The sequence below is a fragment of the Homo sapiens genome, chromosome 5 (genome assembly GCF_000001405.40).
Source record: "Homo sapiens chromosome 5, GRCh38.p14 Primary Assembly".
NCBI classification, from domain to species: Eukaryota; Metazoa; Chordata; class Mammalia; order Primates; family Hominidae; genus Homo; species Homo sapiens.
The window spans coordinates 147760440-147785527 of NC_000005.10; the positions used below are offsets into that span (position 1 = coordinate 147760440).

The 25088-nt window shown below is 35.9% G+C and overlaps 1 protein-coding gene across 7 annotated transcripts in view; it reads right to left on the minus strand.

Annotated features, from left to right (window-relative positions):
- Positions 1-22289, minus strand: part of JAKMIP2 (janus kinase and microtubule interacting protein 2) — a 197291-nt gene extending 175002 nt beyond the window's left edge. For all 7 annotated transcript variants that reach the window (NM_001282282.2, XM_047417951.1, NM_001270934.2 and 4 more), the window contains exon 1: positions 22017-22289. In NM_001282282.2, the coding sequence (NP_001269211.1) occupies positions 22017-22019 (3 nt within the window). In that variant the 5' untranslated portion in view covers positions 22020-22289. The remainder of the gene's footprint in view (positions 1-22016) is intronic.
- Between the last annotated feature and the right edge of the window lie 2799 nt (positions 22290-25088).

The following is a 25088-nucleotide window of genomic DNA, read 5'->3' on the forward strand; positions in this document are numbered from 1 at the left end:
CAAAACCATGAAGGGAAAGCCATTAATAAGAAAAGTGTGGTCAACAGTTTTATCTGAGAGGTCAATATAAGAAAAAGAAAGAGAAAAAAATGACTTTAGAATTAAGCATCAAGGGACATAGTTTGTTAAGGATTTGACAGATGCAGTATCATTAGAATGATGACAATGGAAGCCCAACTAGGGCAGCTGTGGATAAAGTGTGTGGTGAGTAGGTGTAGACAGCTTTGAGAGAAGACTTTTTCAACACACATTGCTGTAAAGGGTAGAATATAAATGGAATAATGATTGAAAGGGATGTTAAGCTCAAATAATTTCTTTTAAGATGTGAGGTATGACAGCCTATTTATATGCTGATGTGAGTGATACAGTTGAGAGGAAGAAATGGATGATTCTGGAGAATGAGCAAATAATTGCAGGAGGAAAGACCTTGAGAGGTGAGAGGGGTGGGATCCATAGCCCCTAGGTTTCTCACTGGTCTGGAAAGGTACAGGGACACTCTCCCATTGGGAAAAGTATGAGGTTCCTATACCAAGACACATTAATTCTATGACCTCATATTTGTATTAGATAGACTGGGAAGAAATGCAAGTAATTAAAAACAGTTAAATAAAGACACAGGGTGAATCTTCTTTCTTTAATATCTCTTAGTGTCTGCTTTTATACTAAATAGAGTTTTTGTAAAGTAACGGATTCTCAAAAATGCTTCTAAATCAAGGTGTTCCCAGCAGTTGTACAAGAAAAGCACTGAAAATATACAAAACCCCTGAGCTATTATATTTTGACAATGTAGTTCTTCTGATGGTAATCCAGCTCCTGTATTAATTCTTCATATAGTTAATAAATATCTACATAGTCTTCCTATGTGCCAAAATTGTTATAAGAATTTTATAAATAATGTATTTAATACTGAAAATAATATTGACTATGTAGGGAGCATCACCTTTTCCATTTTACACATGAGGAGTCTGGGGCACAGAGAGGTTAGGTACCTTAAGTCCACAGCCATACAGCAAGTCAGTTACCTGAGATTCAAACCCAGGCACTCTAATGGCAGACTCCTTGCCCTTAACCTCTCCACTGTGTTTTGGATTTATTATCTAACTTTATCTTACAACAAACTTACAAGAAAATATAATTATTCTATATTTAACAGCTGAGAAAAGTGGCACTTAGAAAAGTTAGGTGACTTTCTCAAGGTCATGCTAAGTGGCTGGGCAAATATTCAAATCTGGATCTTTCTGTAAGTGTGTATTATTGGCACTTAACACTAGACTAAGTGTCAGAAGCGGAGAGTAAAAATGTTACATGTTTCATCACTCAAAAATGCTAAATAAATATGACAAATGGTATAAAAATGGAACTTTTAGTCATGGGAAAGAAAATAGTTAAATTATCATAATAATAAAAGTAATTAAACATTTAATGATATTATAAGCATGGATTTATAGGATATTGGTAGTTACTAAGCTCAAGAATTTTACAATCTGAATAAGTTTATTACATTTGAAAGGCACTTTTAAAACATGGGATAAAAATACATATGTCTTATGAATATTTCCAAAAATAACTCATGTTCATTGGGAAAAAATAGGCTTCACAGACAAGTGAAAAAAGAAAGGAAGGAAAGGAGGGAAAGTGAGAAGAAAGAAGAAAACTATATTTAGGAAGGATTTGAGGGTTTGTTTGATGTAATTCTTTGACACTTACATATATGCACACATGCACAGATAAATATATTTGTATACAAACAGGATCATTCTAGTATATTTTTTAGTTACCTCCTTTTCTAACTAAAATCATATTGAGAGCATTTTCTATAGCAATAAACATGATGCAAACCCTTATTTTTTTATAGTTACATTATATACTAATGTTAGATTGTACTCTTATTCGTGTAATTTTCTCCTATTATTTAATGATTGGGCTGTGTATTAGTTTGCCAGGGCTACCATAACAAAATACCATCAACCAGGTGGCTTAAGCGACATAAATTTATCTTCTCACAGTTCTAGGGGCTTGAAGTGCAAGCCAAAGTGTTGGAAGGTTTAGATTCCCCTGATGTCTTTCTCCTTGCCTTTCAGACAGCAGCTACCTTCTTGCTGTGTCCTCACATGGCCTTTTCTCTGTGGTGCACAATCTGGGTGTCCCTTTCTCTTGTTATAAGGACACATGTCGTATTGGATTAGGACTCAACCCTTATGACCTCATTTAACCTTAATTAGCTCCCTAAAGGGCCTATCTCCAAATGCAGTCACATTGAAGATTAGGGCTTCAACATATGAATTTGGGGGTAAAGGGACATAATTTAGTCCATAACAGGTTGTTTCCCAATTTCTGTTGGTATAGATCATTTGATGATAAATTATAAAGTGATTTTTATTCAATTATTTCCCAATGATATAATCCTAACAGTGTGATGTGATTGCTAGGTCAAAGGGTGTGTCATTTTAAGGCTTTTGATATGAATTGACAAGTTCATATCAAAAATCTTCTGGAAAGTTTTTTCCCTTTAAACTTCTGCCAGGAGAGTTTGAGAATGAAAACACAAGCATTCTAAGGAACAATATACATGTGGTGTAGAATTCTCTAACCCGGAGCTAAATCTTTGGTCAAGCCATCACCTCTTGACTGCCTATGACAAAGGGTGAGTAGCCTGAGACTACTCCAGTTCCAAACACCAGACCACAGGCAGCCAGTTTGTTCACTCCTGAGTTCCATATGAATTTTGGGGGAGTAGAGGAGAAATTGGTAAGGGGTGAAGAGTTAGAATAGCCTGGATAGATGAGTTCAGACTGTTCAGACAGTCTTTGTTTTCTATATTCTAAATTACCCCCTTTCAGTTCTTCACATGGCATTAATGGATAGATAAAACTCCCAGTTCATCCCATTGACAAAGAGAAACACAGACAGAAGACAGGGAACGTTCTGGTTCATTTGGGGGCAGCTATAGGCTGTCTTTTTCTTCTGGCTACACGCACACTGTTGAAGGAGAGCCTTTTCCTACTCAGCATTCTTTTCATAAATAACTCTGTTCTGCTGTCTCTTGTTGGGGTCAGGTTACTACAGGCTTTCGAATATCCTAGATGCATTGCAGGAAATTAAATATGGAATCATTGCTTCTTCTTCTTTGCATTTTGTCTCTGGAGACTGGTACTTCCACAATTGGGTAAATATTTTAATTTAGAGGTGGAGAGGAATCTGAAACTGAAATATAGAGAAGGTAGGTTCTTTCACCCAGGTAATGGAGAGGGCTTAACAATAGTTCCTGGTAAACAGGAGTAGTTTAATGAATTAGGCACTTTGAGCTTTAATGTAGTTTTATCTTCGGGAAGATACCAAGAGAAGAATGAAAACTTGGCATGAACAGGGAAGGCCATTTAAAAGCAAATAATCAAGAGTTGGTTATATTTGATGTTTGCTACCACAAAAATTTACCTCAATTATGTTAAACCAAGCAAGAATAGACAAAATTAAATAACGTTGTAAATGAGCTGCCACATTAAAGTCACCTAAGGATCACCCAGCCAGACACCATGGGGGAATGGAAAATACTTAGAGACCAAGAGACAGATAGCTCTGTGAGTAACCAGCTGCATAGCTTCAGGAAAATACACAATCTCTCTGTTTCATTCTCCTCTCATGATATATGAAGGTATTAATACCAACTTAACAGAGTAATTGTCAGGCTTAAATGAGAGAATACACAAAACACCTAGCATAGTACATGGCACACAGAATTTGTTCCTCAAACAGAGGTGTCCTTGCACTTCTGGGAGCAGAAGGAGGATTGCAGATATTTCAAGGGCCTTTCAATCTTGATGTGGAATCTCGATGTTCCAATGAGAACATGTGAAACAAGGAGAACAATTATGCACTGAACAGTACCATAGTGACCACAAGTATGACAGGAATTCAGACAAGGGAGGTCTGAATGTGCTGGGCTACTCTGCCAGTGAAAGATTCGTCTAAATGTTGGGTCATAGATACTAGGGTTCCAGGAAAAGCAACATTAAAGAAGCAAATTGTGCAAAGAGGATATTGAAAATGGGCGGGGTGGGGTGGGATGCTGGAGCAAAGACACAAAAAATGGTAGGGATATTGAGTTAAGTAAAAGAGATTTAAAAAGCTTTTCAAGTGATCCATAATCTATAGAAAGAGCAATTCGGCTAGGGGCAGTGGCTCACGACCCTGTAATCCCAGCAATTTGGGAGGCCAAGGCGAGAGGATCACAAGGTCAACAGATCAAGACCATCCTAGCCAACATGGTGAAACCCTGTCTCTACTAAAACTGCAAAAATTAGCTGGGCATGGTGGCACACACCTGTAGTCTCAGCTATTCAGGAGGCTGAGGCAGGAGAATTGCTTGAACCCAGGAGGCAGAGGTTGCAGTGAGCCAAGATCATGCCACTGCACTCCAGGCTGGTGACAGAGTGAGACTCTGTCTAAAAGGGAAAGAAAGAAAGAAAGAAAGAAAGAAAGAAAGAGAGAGAGAGAGAGAGAGAGAGAGGGAGAGAGAGAGAGAGAGAGGGGGAGAGAGAGAGAGAGAGAGAGGGAGAGAGAGAGAGAGAGAGAAAGGGAGACAGAGAGAGAGAGAAAGAAAGAAAGAGAGAAGAGAGAAGGAAGGAAGGAAGGAAAGAAAGAAAGAAAAAAGCAATTCATGCTCATAATAGATACATTAAAAAAAATAATTGGAATGACCAAGGAGGATTACGGTATGAGCATGTACTGAATAAATACTAATAGATGAAAATAATGGTTTATCACAATTCATTTTGGAAATAAGAAAAAGATCTGGGAATATAAACCAATTGGTCACACACTTTCCAAAAAAGAAATGACCCCAGTATTAATTTGTATAATGATTAGTAGATAGGACATGAAGAAAGCTCTTTTTTCCAACTGATGGTGATGATGTAATTACTTTGGTCCACTTGACGTGACACCATGGCTTTCCCTTCAGTATCATTACAGTTTTAATCACAGCAGGACAGCCCTGCTGGTCTTCACTTGGCTTGTCTAAATCCTAGGGTTTTCATTTCCTGCATATCTTTATAGTGAATTCCTTTAATTCACTCATATTAAAATAAAAAAGACCAAGAGAACAAAGGAATCACTTGCTTTAAAGGTGGAAAAAATATGAGGCTCACTTTCCCCTACCTAATATCCATCAGGGACTTCCTAATGTTCAGGTAAAGACAACTTCTTGAAATTCTTTTTGGTTTGTCCCTTTTCACATTAACCAAGTAGTATGTGTTCATTGGCAAAATCTTGGGAAATGCAAGTCAACAAAAAGAAAAAAAAATTCACCTGTAATTCTACCACCTGAACACTTTTTATATTTTTATATTTCCTTCAGGTCTTTTTTTCTATGCACATACAAACAAATTTTAATAGACACAGTGTTTTCAAATCTACATTTTCATTGAATATATTCTAAACATCTTTGAGTTCATTGCCATTTTTTAATCTGTGATACTTGTTTAAACATTTATAACATGTCCATCTTGTGATACTCTTTATATCTTCATTACATTCCAACCAGTCAAGGCAATTTTATGCAGTTTTATACTTTGTAGCTAGATATTAAAAACTTAGAGGTTAAATGACTATGCATTTTTAAGGCATCTGCTATTCCCTCACCCAACCTTGGGTTATGATCTACTCCTTAGGGTTGTGTTTCCCCCCATCTTTTCTCCTTCTCCCTCTCGGCCTCACTTCCCTCAAAGAGACACTGTAGGCCAATGGGAGAATAAGTGAAGTCCATAAATAATTGTAATCACTACCACTGGCAAATAAAAAGACTTTGGATTCAGAAGAGGATTTCTTCAATCAGCTTGCAAACATGCCTACATATCTGAAGGCAAAGGAATTAAGAGACTTTTCTGTAGAATTTTTTTTTGCTTGTTTTCCTTTTGAAAGGAGGAAAAAAATAAGTGATGTTTTTTATCTCTCTCTTTTAACAATTAACAAAACAAAAATCCAGAATGGACAGGATGCATGCTTATGTCATACAATCAGCTGGTAGCTGAACAAATATTAAACTCTGACTTCTGATTCCCAAATTTGTGCCTTTCCACTGTGTCACATTGCTTTACTCTAAACAAATCAGAGCTGGGATAAGTGAACTTGGTACCAAAATAACAACTGTGGGAAAAGAACACTTGTCAAGTCAAGGGATTCTCTGTTTATGAGATATTCTTCTGACTCCATATACAACAGCAGTACATGCCCTGAGAGATGGGAGAGAAGGAAAAAGATAATCTTTTATTTTTTTTCATTTGATTTTTCCTTCTAAGGAGAGCTATATTCATACTTTGATTAAAATATCACACATATGGGTAAGCTGGCTTCCAACATGGCCTCTAAAAAGGGAAAGCTAGACAGTGGCTTCCTGAATGTGCAAGTGCAAATATTTTGCAGAGCAGAGAATGCTCTTACCTTGGGGGTCCACTTAACACAGATTCATAATGCTGAGTGGAAAGTGGCCGTAATATAAACTGATAAAAGCCCTTAAATAAACCAAAAACCTCTCAATGAGATCGGCCAGTCAATCACTCATTTTCTGCTTGCACATTGGCCTTAAGGATGCAGTATCTGGGCTGCAGCAGAGAAAACAGTAGTCAATTCCTTTATGCATTGGATTGAATAGTTAGCCTGGCAGCATACCACATTATATGCACTGTTTGATGTACAGCTTGAATTTAATGACCTGTTGGCTAAACTGAATGGCAACATTGTGTGTGCACACGCGTGCACGCACACACACATATACACAGAGTGAAAGAGAAAAATGACAATAAGCTGATATTGCCTTATTACCTTGAGAAGCATTTACTATGACAAAGAACTGACGGAAAATGTGATGGACAGTCACAAAGTCATAAACACATTGGCTTATAGCTGGATGAGTCCTTGTAGAGAATCCATCTCAACACTTCCTTTTCACTTAAAGGAAAATAAACAGTTTAAGGGATTTGCAATAGTTGTACAGGTTTCTGGCTCAGTGGCATTTGACTACACACCAAGAGAGAATTTACAGATTACTTAATACCAAGGTTGGAGTACTGATAATCATAGCTCAAAGAAGAAAAATCCAAAGTGAAGGCAGGCAAATCAGAATCAATACTCTCATTAAGTACTCAGTGACCTTTTTCCCTCCAGGTTTATATTTTTCTCACTTTCTGGGTTGATTTTTATGTATTAAATACAGAAAAAATAATAATGAAAGAGTCCCTTGACTGTAACTGAAATCAATGTATCTAATGTGTTTTCCAATATTTCTCATGCATATGCCCTCATTAGATTCACATGCAAGAAACGGTTCAAATTGGAAAAAAATCTTTAAAAAGCCATTCATAATTTTCCTCGTAGGATTTAATAGTCATTTCTTACTTCAGTCTTATACTCTGTTTTCTAATAGTTACTAAGTGATGAAGTTTCAAGCATGCTGAAATTGAGCACAGCAAACCATTCAGTCTGCAAAGTGATCTGTTTGTGTTGTTTTGTTTGCTTTATTTTAAAAATCCATTTTCTTGCATTACTCCCTGAATCATGGCCATTCATGGCTTGATTCCATGTAACTAACATTCTTTTTTAACTTTAAGGCAAGACAGGTTACAAAACCCCTACACACACACACACTTTCAGGTTTGTAAACTCAATTTTCATGCATTTACTGTTTTTCTTCATTCATGTGCCTTGATTGATGTTCTTAAGTTTTCTTGTATAGATTTTTACATATTTGATACTCAATTTGTAAATGTTCTTATGTTCTGATAAAGGCCTCTGGGTCTCTCAGCAAAATTTTAGTGCCTCAAGGCTTACAGCTTACCGTGCTTTTAGGATTAAGTTTTATTCATCTTTGTAGGTTCCCTACTCACTACTTACTCCCCTACACATACGCCTAACTTAGAAGAACCCATCGTAGCTGTTAGAATTATTTCTAAACTTAATTCTTCATTGTATTACAATCAAGACCACAAATTTCACAAATACCTTTTTGCATTCAGCTTAAAATATATTTTTCAGTTCTGTTCCCATTCAAAATGTTCAAATATGCCTCTAGTTCCTAATTGAACAGGTTTATTAGGTGACATCATTTTAAAAAACAGATACTCTTTGGTAGTAATTTACATAAAAATAAGTCATGTGAGTTATTTTAACATTCATTACTGAGATGGGTTTGGTCAGACAGTATTAAAATATACTATCTAATGGACAGCATTACAATGCGTAATAAACAGCATCAGGAAGTAGGCACTATAAAATAATTCACACTCTGCTTTTACTTCCCCAATAAAGAACAAATATGATTTCGCTTAAATAAGACTTTATATCTTTATGGCAAATGTTAAAGTATTAAAATTTTGTTTGAGGCCTGGTCCTTTTGTGGCTGAATGGGAGACACATACTGTCACAATGTTTGTAATGTTTTATTGTTAACTTTTTTGTTTATAGACTTGTCTTCCTACATAAGCCTTTTGAGAATAGGATCCTGATCTTTATCCCATACACCTAGTATGAAAACAAGCATGAAGAAGCCATTTGGCTAACCATTTATTAGCTGGTTGAATTTGGGCATGTTCCTTAACATTTCTCTGTCTTAGTTTCCTCAAATACAGAAGTTAAAGGGGAGTAGAGTAGTTCCTGCCTCAATGATATCACGGTTGTCAAATGATCAGAACTCCGCCTGGCACACAGCAGGTGCTCATTCAGTACTCCTCCTTTGTACAACTCAGGGAGGTGCCACTCACACAGTCCTCCCCGGAGTTGTGCCCCTCTGGAACCCACCCTCAAAGTGTGAGATGTCATAATCATCTTCCTCATCATCATGATTATTAGGCCCAAGAAGAGAAAGATTTCATTTCATCTAAACTACGGAGAGGGCGGCAAAAGTGTAAGCAGATCCTTCATGATAAGGATGACTGTGCCTACCTCCTAAAGGGAAAAAGCTCAGAATTCTGCAGAATGTGTATGGATTTTTGTCCTGTCATGTAATAATCCTTGTTAGAGCTTTTCAATAAAAATGGATTATGACTGAGCCACATAGTATTAAACTTGGATTTTTGTCTTATTACCATGTATTCTAATAATTACTATGAACTAAACCCACTATAGACTAATGAAAATAGGATGCTGAATATCCCAGTGACAATTGAAATTTTTAGTTTTTAAAGAAATTAGGTATACAGAATGTCAATTGCATTAATTATATCATTGGGTTTCAAACTATTTTGAGACAAGATCTTTTTTTTTTTTTTTTCAAAATATTAGGACATCAATGGGTATTTTGTGTAGAGCGCCTGGATCCTATCCTCCTTGCCTTTTCCTTCTGTCTAGGGCTCAGCAGAAACACTGTGTTTGTCTCTGTAAACCAGATGGAACTGCTGACCCAGGTGGAGCAAAACTGGATAGTCAAATATTTGGGTTTGTAGATGATTTAAACATTTTGATATCAACATCTTTCCTTAAAAATATTTACCACATTTTGTTAAAGATGTAAAATGCATTTTAGTAAATCTGGAAATCAGAGAACTCAAAGAAAAATTTCTCATAAACTTACCACCTACAACGAATTCCTTTTAATATTTTCATTTGCACTATTTTGGCCCTTTAAAACGTATGTATATATGTTTGTGTAATTTTCTTTTCACAGAATTGGGATTAAATTCTATCTTTTGATTTTTGACTTTTTTTTTAACTTAGACAAATCTTACATATTTTTTCTATATCACTAAACATTTTTCTACAACATACTGTTTAAAGGGCTTCATTGCATTCCACATTTGGGATAGGTCACAATTAACTTATCATATATATGTGATCCATATATCTGTATATTTGACTATCTACAGTGACTCCAAAGGACTTCTGAAAAATTGCTCCACCTGGGTCAGAGGTTCTAAATGGGTTTACATAGACAAACACAATTTCTGGTGAGCCATAGCAAAAAGGAAAAGAAAGGACAATAGGATCCAGGCTGTCTACACAAAATACCCGTTGGGTGTACAGACAGACAACCAAATCAAAATTTCAGTCTCTCATCCAAACCTATTCTTGTTATAATTCCTATTTACTGTAAACAAAAAATTTAAACAAAAAAGCCTCGAGTTGCGTGAATTTACACCACGTAAATGATAAGACCACAGAAACTATATTGTTCATAGCGTTAAATTCTGAAATATGTACTGCCCAGTCTATTTTGCAGTTGGGGATTTATCCAGAGGTGAAATTCCTGTGAAACTGCTCTCTGGATCTGGAGGAAAAGAAAATGTTTACAGTTTAAAGAACTGTCAAAAATACAGAACAAAATTTTTGTCTTTCTTATTTATTGCTTGAAAAAAGTAGGAAGGAAAACTAGATAATTTTCTTTTTAAAAATATATTTAATGCCTATTTACATTTTTGTTTTAAAAAGTGAATCCTGGATTACACTGTAGAAATACACAGAACTCACACAAAATCTCTTAATAGTTATTTAAACACAAAATCTCTGAATGGTTTATTTTAGGACTGGGATTCATTCTCCCCTTATTTTCTTTTTTTCACTGAGGAAAGTGTGTTTATGTGGGCTTTGTTCTTGAATGTAGATTTAAGCAGAGCGTTGCTGTCCTTTTTAGCAAGAATTGTGTCTTGATGAATATGTAACAATAACATTCAAATATATTTGCCTTTTTCTTCATTTACTTTAATTTTCAGAATCACAATCATGTTTTCATTAAAAGGGGAAAGTAGTTTAGCTTATTTGTTAAGAGCAACTTTGCAGTCAGACAGAATTAAGGTCAGAATCTCGTTCCATCAGTCATTAGTTGGATGATCTAGAGTAAGTATTAAGTTGCTTGACCTCAATATGCCTTAGTTTAATTATGAATAAAATAAGAATAGAATCACTTTTTTCAAAGTGTGATGGTAAAAGGTATGCAACAAATTTAGTGCAATGCTAGTATCTAGTAAGAGTAGTAAAGCAAAATAAAAACCAACATAAAACAAAAACTAGCATTAATATCAAATATGTTTTGAAAGAAACCCTTAGATATATTTTAACCTGGATTTAGTCCAAAAAGTAAACTGACACATCTCAATAGTTCCTATTTGCTAATATAAACATTATTATATTTGATTCATCAAATGAAAGATACCTGTTGAGAAGAAAGGGAGGATTAAATACTGATTCAAAGCATTCTCATCACCGTATGCATTCATAGTTTAGGGCCATTAGTTACAAGCCACAGAGATCAGTTCACACAAATAAAGACTTGGACAGGGAACTGTAGTGCTACTTATGTTTCTCCTGTAATTGTTACATGCATTAATATTCCATTTATATTTGGCCCTTTATCCTTTTAAAAACAAAAGTTCCTTTTGGACAGGGACCAGGGCTAACAATTGGAAGCCTATAAATATTTTCTATTTTGAGGGTCTTCAGTGAAGCTTTTGTGGTATTGCTGCTGCTGATAATAATATACTTGCAGGAACTATCTATTCATATTCTTCCCCCTACCACCAAAAAGAAAAATCTCTTGGTTTATTTTGCTGTTTCCACATACAGGAACCATAGATTTGCTGGCACAAATTACATGTGAATGGAAAGATCTGATGAGGATAATTAAATGACCTAAGATATACATATTAATATATAATATCTGCCCTGTCTTTATTCTTGTGAGAATGTGAAGTATTAAAAGTTTTTTTATAACTTGAAAAATAAAGTATTAAACATATGTAAATTGTGAAAAAAACGCCTTAGTCTACTAATTATGAAAGACGTAAATAATTGCTGGGACATAAGGGAAACATTTGAAGCTGCAAATCATACTGTTGAAATGTCATTGGGATTGCCCACAAACCAGATCTAAAGCATTAAATTTCATACAGATAATTCATTTTTAGCAAATGTTTGTCTGCAGGATTATTTCCTGTATTCATGATTTTCAGCTTCTATATGAATGAAAACTGAATGTGTAACTGAAGAACAATAAATATCAATTATGAGGGGGTGGTGGGGGGCAGGCTAGGGATTTGAAGTAGCACAATACCCATCCAGAATACCCACAGTTCAACTCCAGATGCCATGAAGAAAGGTGGCCCTGGTGTTGCCAGATTTTCTTTTTTTTTTTTCCTAAGAGGAGAAGATATTTTAATATCTCCTGAAATGTCAAAATTATAAAATTTGGATAAAAGTGTGTTTTAAAAAATATTGTGTTAGGAGCATATATTGCTTTGTACTAACATTTCACTCAGGTTTACAAACACTTTTCTTGAGCTGGGTCCAGTCCACAAGGCTCCAGTTTGTAACCACTGTGCTACATAATCAGACAGACTTTATTTCCATCTCAGTTAAAAAAATCGCTAATTGAATGGCTTTGGGTATAACATTTAACCTATCAAAGCTTCATCTTTATTGGCAAAATGGGAAGAAAAATGCCTACTTCACCAGCCTGCTGTGAGAACTGCAAAAACAGGCATGGATGAAAATACTCAGCGTACTAGATGCATAATAGATGCTCAAAGAATTTAGGTCTTTTTCTCATTTTCTGGATAACTTTAAAAAGGAAGTTGTTCTGTTTTGTTCCTTTCATACTTGCTATATTCAGAGCATATCAGATATCCTTGTTATTAGGAAGGTCAGCGCTAACGCATTAACTACTGGAATAAATAGTTTTACTTGAATTATAAAGAAAATTCTAAACTATGGGTCTCTCCACATCTTCTAAAGAGTAAAGATGAGTCAGCATCAACTCTGAAAAAATTTTCAAATTTACCTAGGGGGAAGTGCATCTTTGGCAAAAGTCTGCCTTGAACGAAATGCTCTTCCACTGCTTCATCGGCTACTCTCTGTCATAAGGATCCTTTCGTTGGTCAAACAGCACTTAAGCACCACAAGGCTATGATTAGTGATGGCACCACGTGAACTGAGAACTGATCAATTCTGCTTAGATTACAGTTGACTACACGGCCAAAGATCAATGTTTCAAAGCAAGAGGATTATACAAAATAAATGTAGACAGTTCATGTTTTCAAACTACACATGTTAGTGAAAGTTCAGCAAGCAAATGACCAGCGAGTGGCTAGAAATATTAATTCTTGTCTCTTTACTACATTTCAGGGGCCTCGACTAAACCATGTAGGCTTGATTTCAATAACCGTACGTAGGATGAAAGGAGAAAAACATAAAGTCACATACCATAGTTAAAAGAGATTAAACAGTATATATGTAGTCAAATCTGCCCATGTAAGAGTGTTAGTATGAATCAGGCATGTTTAAGTGTGCATTTGGATACTGGACTCTTAAACCTGTAGAGAGCAAAAACCCAAAGGTCACACTCAGATGCAACAATCGATTTCCCTTGTCGTAGGCTAATATTTTCCTTTCTCTTGTTTCAGAGTGTGGCATTGCACCCTGTAGGTCAAAAATGTGGACAATCTGGCTAAGAAGAGAGCAAGACAGGTAAAGCATTCCTTCTATGTGAAATTGATTGGGGGAAGGCATTCCTTTCTACTTCATTTTTAAAAAGCTGAGACTTATTTTTCATTATTGCTAAACATTTTAAGCATCTGGCTCAAAATACTCTGTATTCTAAATTTTATAGATGATTTTATTTAATGAAGTCCTTTAAAAAGAAGTCAAAATTCAAATGTTTTCCATAATATAGCTAAAAATAATATATTCTCTAAAATACAAAACCTGTTTTATAGTTAATTAACTACAACTTAAATTACTCCTTAAAAGACAACAGGAAACAGAGACTGACCCAGTGGTCAAAATAATTCCTTCCTTTGGGTTTAGGAAACTAGAACTGAGAAGATGATGGAGAAACCCCTGTAATTCCAGAGTACCCATTTTCATAATCTGAATTACCTAGCAAATCCATAAGAAAGCAAGTTGAGGGCCTATAATATCTTCAAAACATCTAAGTCCTTCTCTCTCTGTTGCCAATGTCAATTAGCAGAATTAGCAGCTTGTGAATTCTCAGCATGGATTTTTTAATATAAATTCTCCAAATTGGTTATCATCATATAAAAATTTGTTGACTGTTTTGCTCTTCATTTAATGGCTTATTGGTAGAATGAGACAATAGCCTAGATTTTACAGAATGGTACTTATTTAAAATATTGTCAAGTTGTTTTCATGAGTATTCTTGCACTTAAAATACCTAATAATTTCATTTTGGAAAATAGGTTCAAATTAGGTATGCTTGACCTATGAGTAGGTTAAGGGCCTTAAATATACGTCAGTGATGACTACGGAGTAAGAGCTCAGTTTATTTTTGGAATGTACCTCTCTCCATGAAGTGCTACATAAGAAAGAGCCAGGTAAGAAATGCGGGTAAAAAACAATTGCCTGGTTTTTACTGTGGTTATAAGCATTTTTCAGGGGAACATTTCCAGTTTGGAAAAGATGGCATGATGAAAATATCACCCTCTTCTCCTAAGCACATGCTCAGAGGCTTTTTTAGAGTCATAATAATCTCAGCAAATTTCCCTTCTTGAAAATAATACCGAGTGGTTTTCTGGCCACATAGTGTCAGCTAAAATTTGTCAGATTTAGTTTTCCATGCATATTCTAACTGAAACTGGACTCCAGAAATTCAAGAATTGCAGTAAGTGCCATGATCTTGATTTAGGTGCCAAACAAAGAAAGGCAACAAAGGCTTTTTCCTCATACTTAAGTTACAGCGTATCAGCAGGTTAGACACCCGTAGAAATCACTGTCCTCAGTGGTTCAAAGGCATGTCCGTGTGTCTGTCAAGCTAACCCTCTTGTACAAGTCACTCTTTTTATATTTGATTTCAAAACTCTCATGAAAGCAGGATGCTGCCTTAATTTATCTTTGGAGTGAGATGCATTTCTGATTCAACTTAATTTTTGAATGGAGATAGGATGGAATGATTTGTTTATGATTAGTGAATTTGGTAGAGTAGCTTTCTAAAATAGCACAATAGCTGTGAGTGTGTATCATATAACTTGCTGCTTATAATAATTAAATTACTAACTTATTTTAATAAATTAGTGAATTAAAAGGTATTCATTAATGATGTTACTATTTCTGACTTGCAATTCAATTTTTAAAAGAAAATAAAAAGATCCACGGAAGTGTTCATAATCTTTCTTACTTATATTGTAGCATGTAGTGAGCAGTCTTTAATGATGGATTGTTAAGTGTTATGATATATTACCTTTAAGAATATGATTTTGCCTTATCAAAATCATAACATCCTGAGGATGTGAATGCAATTCATTTTGTTTTTACAGTCAAATTAAAAGAATGAGAATCACAGTTGAAAGAGCTACTAGTTGAAGTCTTCTACAGTCTTAGGCCAGGAGCCCTTTAGGGGACTCTCATTCTTTCATTCATTCAGCCACTCAGTCAAACAGTCTTTATTGAGTATGCATTTTGTACCAAGGCATTCGTTACAATTGGTGAACAACACAGTTTCATTTTCTGCCCTCATGGAGCTTACATTCTAGTGAAGAGTAGGGAAAGCAAATAAATAGCTCTGTAATTACAACTTTTGATACGTATTATGAAGGAAACACACAGGTTGCAGAGAGTAAAACGGGATATATACCTAGGGAATTTTCTCCAAGGTATTATGTTTAAAGCTCAAAGTTTAAGAAGAGTCAACCATTCATATTTAAAAAAGAGGAAAGAGTCAGATGACTGGGGTTTTATTTGAAAACTATGATATACATGAATTCATTATGAAATAATGAATATAGTGAAAAAAATAGCAAAACTACATCTTGGTGATATGGTTTGGCTGTGTTCCCACCCAAATCTCATCCTGAATTGTAGTTCCCATAATCCCCACATGTCGTGGGAGGGACCCAGAGGGAGGTAATTGGACCTTGGGGGTGGCTTTCCCCATTCTATTGTCATGGTATTGAGTAAGTTCTCACGAGAGCTGATGGTTTTATAAGGGGCTTCCCCCTTCACTCAGCTCTCATTCTTTTCCCTCCTGCCACCATGTGAAGAAGGACATGCTTGCTTTCTCTTCTGCCATGATTGTAAGTTTCCTGAGGCCTCCCCAGCCCTGCAGAACAGTAAGTCAATTAAACCTCTTTCCTTTATACATTACCCGGTCTTGGGTATGTCCTTATAGTAGTGTGAGAACGGACTAATACACTTGGTTTATTCTGAGAAGTCGTTTAAATATCTTCCCATAATGGATTTGAGTTGCTTAACCAAGGTTAAAACTACAGGACAGGCTGGGCATGGTGGCTCATGCCTGTAATCCCAGCACTTTGGGAGGTCCAGGCAGGCAGATCACTTGAGGTCAGGAGTTTAAGACCAGCCTTACCAACATGGTAAAACCTCGTCTCTACTAAAAATACAAAAATTTGCCAGGCACGGTGGTGAGCACCTGTAGTTCCAGCTACTCAGGAGACTAAGGCACAAGAATCACTTGAATCCAGCAGGGGGAGGTTGCAGTGAGCCAAGACCATGCCACTGCATTCCAGCCAGGGCAACAGAGTGAGACCCTATCTCAAAAATCATAATAATAATAAATTAAAAATTAAAAAATAAAACTACACGACATACCACTACAACACTGGGGAAAACTAACATGAATCTGAAACAGATGTGTTTTTGTTTTTGTTTTCTAATTGTTGCTGATATATGCACCTGGTGAAACTCCTAGTGACTCAAACAGGGATTTCACTGCCTTGGATTCAGACCTCATTCATTATCAGCAGACAAAGAATGACCAAGGTTAATTTAATACCCATTGTAAGATGCAGTGGCAGGTCAGGTTAACAGAGTTCATATTTCCTGAATATAATGCCTGACTCACGACTGCTTTAAATCAAGCAGGATCTATCTGTATCATAAGAAGTATTTAAAAGTAAAGTGTGAACACTCTCAAGTGGGGGAAAAACAGCTTGAATCGTCAAGAAAAATGCATGCGGAAATTTAAAATTCAGTAGAGACACATTTGTTGACACGGATAGATGGCCACTATACATAAAGCAGAAGCAATATAAAACAATGCATACAGTATGGTCCATGTATGAAACTGTGTCTGCATGTGTCTCTATGTGCATATACAAAAAGATCTAAAAGGAAATATTCCAAAATGCTAACAGTAATGATTTCTTGATGGTAGGCTTATGAGCGGTTCTCATCTTCCTTTTACACATTTCTGTATTATCATTTTTCCATAATGAGGATGTGTTATTTTTAAATATAAAAAAAACTTTAAGCAACAAAATTTACTTGTAGTAATGAATAATGATTTAAAGAATAATTTTTTTAGTGTGACAGGTCCCATTTTTACTGCAAGCTAATTAATTATAAAGGACACTTTTTCCAAATGTAGAATACAGTTCAGACGCCATGATTTTCTATTTGGCCAGGGCTGAATTACCCAATACTTACACCAGTATGTGCCTAGGGCATTAATAAAGAAAAAGAGACACCAGAAAATTAGAATATTTGAAAAACAAATAAATATTTTTGATAGTTCAGAAAAATGTAGGAGAATTTGTTCAGAGAAAATATCAGAAAGTCGTTGAACTGATGCACACTTATTTTATGACAATATCATTTTTACTTTTAAGAATGTGTAGGTGGAGAGATAATTAGGACATATAGGTAGGAGGTGGCATAACTTTTTTCAAGATTCAGGACCTACAGGAATTTTAATCAGATCCTAAACACGGAAAAAAATGGTCACCTCCCAACCTCTATGTCATTAAAAACAAAAACAATATTTATCTATAAAATAAGTGCATATTAGCCCAACAAAGTTCTGATTTTCACCCAAACAAATGCTTCTACGTTTTTCTGATATATCAAGAAGCCTAGATTTTCTCTAAAATGCTTTTTGTGTGTGTGAGCCTTTTTTTGTTTTGTTTTGCTTTGTTTTTGTTTTTTGTTTTTTTGCCTGATACCCTAAGCACATAGTTAGTGTATTTGGCAATTAAATATGGCCAAAGAACAAATTTTGGTACCTGAAATATTCAAATAAAATGAGCCACACAACACAGATTAGTAAATTGAATTAAAATTATCTTACCAATTAAAATTCAAATTGGTAAGATAATTTGCTACCTTTCTACTGTTGTAGTTTGTGCTCATGAGACTAGGGATCCAGCCTGTTACACCACTCACCAAACACAAATTTGGACAAGTCTAACCTCCCTGAATCTGTTTCCACTTATTTTAAATAATTATTACGACACTAGCTTTGCTGATAATGATAGAATTGAAATGATAGAATATAAACTGAAATTGATAGAATATAAAATGAAAAAGAATGGAAAAATGACAGAATCATAAAAACTTGTAATAATATAAGGTGAAGTGATGGTACTAATTACAACTATATTGTTTTCAACATTAACTGTTTCATGGATGTATATCTTATATTCTCCAAGGAAATTCTTTCTTGCTAGCATACGCAAATGCTGCTAGTCATATAAAACCTCTACAAATAGTTGTTAGTCAATTTATTAATTTATCCTGCTTGAAAGCACATTTTCCCTTGATAGAATAATAGTGGAATGTGTAAACAGGGAATTGCAACACACTTCACAGAGTAACAACCAAGTATAAACCTAATTTATGTCTTTCAGTAAAAGACCATCATTGCGTTATTTATGTTAAAACTTCCACAGTAAGCTCCAACCATGAGAAACAAAGCATTGACTTTTCATGAACCAAAAAGAAATGTAGAAAACTGTTAGACTCTCCAAATATTGCCTAAGTCATCCTGAAGCGGACTTGTAGCAGGCACATAAAATCAAAATATGTTCTGATGTCACTTGAAATAAGAAACATCCTATTACAAAGTGAGAAATTAATTAGTGTGTCTTAATTAAAACAAGTTTTACTAAAGACTTACATACCAATCAAAATATTTAACTTTAATATTCTAACATGAATGACATTTTTAAGATAGCATTTGAGTGGAAGATTAGTTTGTTAAACAGCACATTTAAACATTAATTTGTATATACCTTTCATATAATTTGTTTTTTTAAAAAAAACAACTTGATGGCCCTTGAATTACTTTGTACAAAGACCCCATTAAATAACACAGTACATTTTTCAAAATTAACTATACAATATGAAATAATTTTAATATAGGTATTTGACATCATACTCCATAAAGCTGCTGAGAAAGAAGGGCTCTTATGAACAGGTAAATGTTCAGTTTCCTGAATTCTGGCAGGATTACATGTAAATTTCTCTAAGAAGATGATCAGCTGATTTCTTTACAAATACCTAGAACCTGTAATTTAGAAGTCAACTACAAAATGGAGTCTTACTGTTATAACCTAGAAGTGTCTTATCTTAAACAACTAATGTACTCTCTCAAATAAATGACTCACTCTAGAAAAAGCAAGAGAAGTTCTTGAGAAGGAAATCTAGTACATCCTAGACAAATGCATATCTAGGTCATACTTTTGGAGGTTTTGATGAGAGAAGAATTCATTGCTTTATCTGATTAGCCAGTTGACTACTCACACTTACTATGAGGAACTTCTACATTTGCATATTTCTCATCTTCATAATTCCTCATAAAGTTGAAGCCCATTGACTACATTTGAGGTTCCAAAAAATAGCAATAAGCAATGTCCTGTGCTTATGCCCCATGCTTAGCTTATCTGAAACAAACGATTGCCATATTTCATTTTTCTCTTCTCTAAATGAAATGATCCTAGCTTTTAAAAATCTTTCCTCAGAGAGTTCAACTTCTAGTGCTTGAAACACACTTCACTTTTCTATGGCCCCTTAGCAAAGGCCATATAATTGTCTTAAATAGTGGGGTCAAAAGCTAGACCTGTATTTCTATCAGGGTAATAGCTGACACATAGCTGAAACAGGCTATCTACAAGGAGTTTTAAGCACATGGCCTAAGGGATTTGCCTCTGTTCAAACTGTACCAACTTTGCCTATAAAACCACCTCCAAATGAAAACTCAAAAAAAAGAAACAAAAACAAAGCCCCAGGATATCTGCTTTCATTGCATGAAATGGGGTCAACTAGTACAAATCTTAATTTTTTAAGTGTGCTATAGGCATATCTAACATTTTAATTTTTGGAAGTCAAGTGTTATCACTAAAAGATTCAGGATGCAATGTGTTATACAATTTGTTATAACATACAAGCCCAGTACCTCTTTCCTTGCCCTACTTCATATAGTTGTTAAAATTAGGCACAAAGTAGCATGAGTTTACAAAGCTATGGATCTATAATATATAACATGCTATGAGCACATGCACAATTGAGTCACCAAGGGCCCTTCTCATGTATAAACCAAATAGAACAATTATTCTCAGCAAAATTAAACTATAAACCTGGTTCAAATACATGTGAAAATTATAAATGTGGGGGGTGTATGTAGAATCAGATGCAAGACTAAAGACCCAAACAATTGTTATTTTACATTGTAAAAAATGTCTGTACTGACAATGATATTGTTAGAGAAGAGAATAATGGATAAAACTATAATAGCCCATGTGGTAAATGTAATATTACTAATACACTTTACCTACATAATTTTTTCTGGCTTTAATTCAATGAAATCCATTATCCTGGGCGGGAATGGAACCTCCTCATCTCACGCATCTTTAGTCTCCTGAACTGCCTTAAAGCCTTGACATAATAAAAGGTCAAGCAGATCCCAGTAAGCATTTGTAAATTACAATAGACCCCCATTTCAGCTACAAGCCACACATTCTCCTGCTCGCTTTGCTCACTCTCTGGTTTCATTTCATTGTATAAGCAGACTAATTTGGAAACGGCTGGGCTAGGGTGCTTGGGAATACCTAGATTTTCAAAACAATCCTACTTTCCTACTTAATTATTTACAGAAGGAGACCCTTAATACAACATCTGAGAGAACTGTGAAATGGTTCCTGGATACTGAAGGAATGAACATCAGATAGCAGCACTATTAAATAAAATGAATACATTTCACCTTCCAGCTTAGCTGTGCTTCCTGGGACACAAGGCACAAACATGAAAAGGTTGGGGTGGCATTTCAAGAAAACTGATTTGCTTCAACATTGATTTGGTAAGATGCTAGACACAAAATAATACCACAAACCGCCTCCCATTCCCATCATTGTAAATTCAGAGTCCTCAATATCATCCCCCACAAACCCAATTAAAAATAAAGAGGCAGGCTACAAATTTGCATCTAGTTCTATGACACAGATCAAACGATAGGCATCTGTTCCAATCGGTCACAATGAAACTAAGGGACAATAACCAGAGTAAATTTCACATTAATCCAAATAAAGCCAATGAATAATAATATAAACCAGAAGCATAGTTTCAAAAACATGCAATTACTTCCAGGCATGCAAGGACATATGTAACCCATAAAAATGGTTGCAAAGCACACCCTACATATAAATATGCTTCATAAATGCAATATAAATGCTAAGTGACATGTGTATATATGATCTGTATATCCATAAGATATACATGTGTAAGTTCACAGTCAAATCTACGTATAAAATAAAACTGGGTCTTGCAAATGATTTCTCAACAAGAGTATATTAGAATATAAAATAAAATGTCAAATTCTGGGGCCACTTTTTCTAAGCAATCAATAAAATAAGCAAAACCACCTTATAATGAGTCTGGTAAGCTTATGAGACACCAAATGTATTTCTGAAGAAGGCCCAACCCTGTATGTGAGAGCTGCAAATGAAATGATTCCTTTCAATAACACCCTCTTCTTGTTGTTAGCTCTTTTTCCAACCCCTGATGCTGTTGCTAAGCTTAGGAAAAAAGGCACCAAGTGGCTCAGTCTGCATTCTGAGCCAGTTAGAGATAAAATCAGAACACCATTTTTTTTTTTTAAACACAAGAGGTTGTCTTCTCACTTCTCTCTTCCTGGCAAGCTTCCTCTCCCTCCATCCTCATCTCTGTCTCCACATCTCCCCCTTCTAGTCTGAGGCACGGGAGTCATTGTTCAAGTTCAGGCCAGAAATGTATACACAGGTCAAATAAGAACACTCTAAACCAAGAAGGGAGCCCTACTGTTTCCTACTCACCATGCTGAGACCCGGAGAAGCTGTTTAAAGGAGGGAGAGATGCAAACTGAATCCATTTTCCTTGTGACCGAGTCGGATGCAGCCTCCGAACCCAACATCAGCAGTGGCTGCCGGTTTTTTTTTTCCCTCTGTCTCTGGTTGGCGATGGTGCGAATAGGAACCACCCTTCCAGCCCCACTAGAGTATCAGCAATAGAGGCGGCGGCGGCGGCAGCAGCAGCAGCAGCAGCATCACCAGTTGGGCCTCCTCCCTCTCGGAGGATGGGGTGAGCTCGGAAGCAGCCAGGAACTTGCAGCAGACACCTCCTCTGGCTCCTCCTCTCTCTCTCCCCCTCCCCCAGTGCCCCACCCCTGCTGCGGTAGAGGCTGCTGGCCCGGCAGCTGCTGGTTGCCATGGCAATGACCAATGATAAGCGACCAAGCTCAGGGGGAGGGGAGATGGGCGAAGCAAGCTGCAGGGTCTGGAGGGGAGTGAATTTGTGCTGCTGCCCTCTAGGATGCTCTTGATGTCTCCTACCCTGAACTCCAGGTCTTTTTAAAAATGGGGCAAGGGGGGCTAGGCACGGGGAGAGAATAATTAAAATTTAATTGAAATCTAGATAGAAACATACCAACGGCTTAGCTATTTTTTGCATTTTCTGTGGTTTTCCAATAAAAAGTATGAAATTTATTATCAGAAAAATAACAACAAATGTGGAGAAAATTATGTCGCATAATAGCAGATTATTATTACTTCCAAACGTGTTCGTCCTTTATAGCATCTTTTACTCAATACCAGGCAACAAGGTTTTTAGAAAGCAAACGGAGTGGCTGGACTTTGTAATAAATTAAGAGTCTGGTTGATTCCTTTGCACTACTCCCGGCTTGTTCTCAGGTGAGTTACTTGGTTTCACTGTTTTTCCAGCTACCCTTCTGAACAGGACTTGGAGGTAATTGACACATCCCTGAGGAAAAGTAAGTTTGGATAGAGACCGAAATTCCTTTCAACAACCACTATTCTCGGTAGCACAAGTTGGTGGACAGTTCCCAATCTTTTTAGTGTCAAACTCCTGGAGCATTCAATTTCCTGCAGGCAATTCCTGTCGTTTTCATGGATGCCTTTTTGGAGTTCCGAAGTCAGTTGGCAGTCAGGGTGGTGGGCAGGAAAAGGGGGAAGTGAAATCAGCAATGTCCAGTTCTAGGCGAGTTCTGTTTCTAACTATAAATTATAGATGACACCAGTATTTATCTCGTGGAGGGGTTGTAAAGATTGAATGAGATAATGCACTAAAAGCACTTGGCATATAGTAAGTGTACAATAAATATTTACTATTAGCAGCATAGTAGTACATTGCAGCCATCTCTTAATCTAAGGGTTTAAGGGGAATAACATGGCAATTTCAGGTAGGAGAAAAAATTAAGATGAGAAAATCCAAAGTACGTAATAACCATGATGATGATGGCAAAGACAGAGAGGCCCTAAGAGATTAAGTGTTCTCTACATCTTGATATTTGAGGACATTGTAAATCTCAGAGGAGTTAGATACATTTCCCAAATTCACAACTGATAAACGACAGAACCGGAATCAAAATGGACTCTTCTAACACTTACATTTGCTCTCCTAACCACCACACTTTTCTGCCACTCCTCCATAAAATGGAAATAATCTTTGTTCTTAATCCACAGAGTTATTTACAGGTTCAAATGGGTTTAACACAAGTTCCAGAGTCAGACGATCTAGGCTCCATTCCTAGCGCCAGTATTTACTATAGGTATAATCTGGAACATATTTATTAACTTCCTCAAATCTATGTTTCTTCATCTGTAAAAAGAAATAATCACAGAACCTCATGAGTCATTACAAAAATTAAACTAGATGACGTGTGTAAAATGTACGGTCTTTAGCAGATAGGAAATGTTCAATAAATGTAGCTACAGTTACTTGTTACTCATTTGTAAGTAACTAATATTAAAACATGAGAAGACTTTTTCCTGCATGGTGTCACTCTTAATGTCAGGGGCTTCTTCTAATAAAACTGGCTTGAAGATAACTAGGTGATGAGGAAAGAGTTGCAGCAGTTCCCCAGCACGTGACACTGGCTTTCCATCCACTTGGTGGGAAAGCCTGCAACCTCCTTTGTGCAGCTAGTGTCCCCTGCCTTCTGTCAAAGTCTCAGCAGCCACACAACCTGCACACACTTCCAAGTCAGCATCACCTATGTGTAATGTGTAACATAAAGGAATGGGATGTGATCATCTCGCTTCTTTTTGTATTCCTGTATTTTATCTTCTGCTTTCTCTGCAGAGATGTTCTTGTAAGTAAGCAGACCAGGAAGCTGCAGGCTGTAGAAGTTATGACACACTAGATGACAGAACCCTCCACACTGTCCTCGGGACAGCATTTCATCCTTAGCGCTAGGAGCCAAATGTCTAGGGGTGGGTGATTCTAGTTTTTCCTCTCCTCCCATCAACATAAAACAGCTGGTCAAGAGTCAATTGGTAAGAGAAAAGTTTGGTGTTTCCTATCTGAAGAAGTATCCAGTTTAACCATTCAAATACAACTTACTCATTTGTTTTTGGTCACGTCCAGGCAGCACTGTTATCATTATTTAATAATAGTTTTCCCTTATTTGCTTTAATTATTTATGATTTACTTGATTTGCTATTTATTCATTTTTTAATGAAATGTTTCTCTGACTTCAGCAAAACATAAATGAAAATTGACATGGTAAAGATAATGGACCCATATGAAGGAAACGAAAACAAATTCTTAATTTTTTTAGTAAAACAAAGACTTCAACTTTATTTATAATAATTTTTAATTTAAAAAGAAACATTAAAACTCTCACCTCTCTATTACCATCCCCTCTCATACCATGTTCTATTTTTCTATATACTATATATAAAATTAATATGAATAATATACTATGGGATAATATAACATTGCTTAATGTGGCATGCTATACTATAATGTGTACTGTATTGTATATTAGTAATATACTGTATTATTCCCTATTAGAATGTAAACTACGAGAGGGTAGGGATTTTTATTTCTGTGTTTTTTTGTGAATGGTGTCTGGGCCATATTAGGTG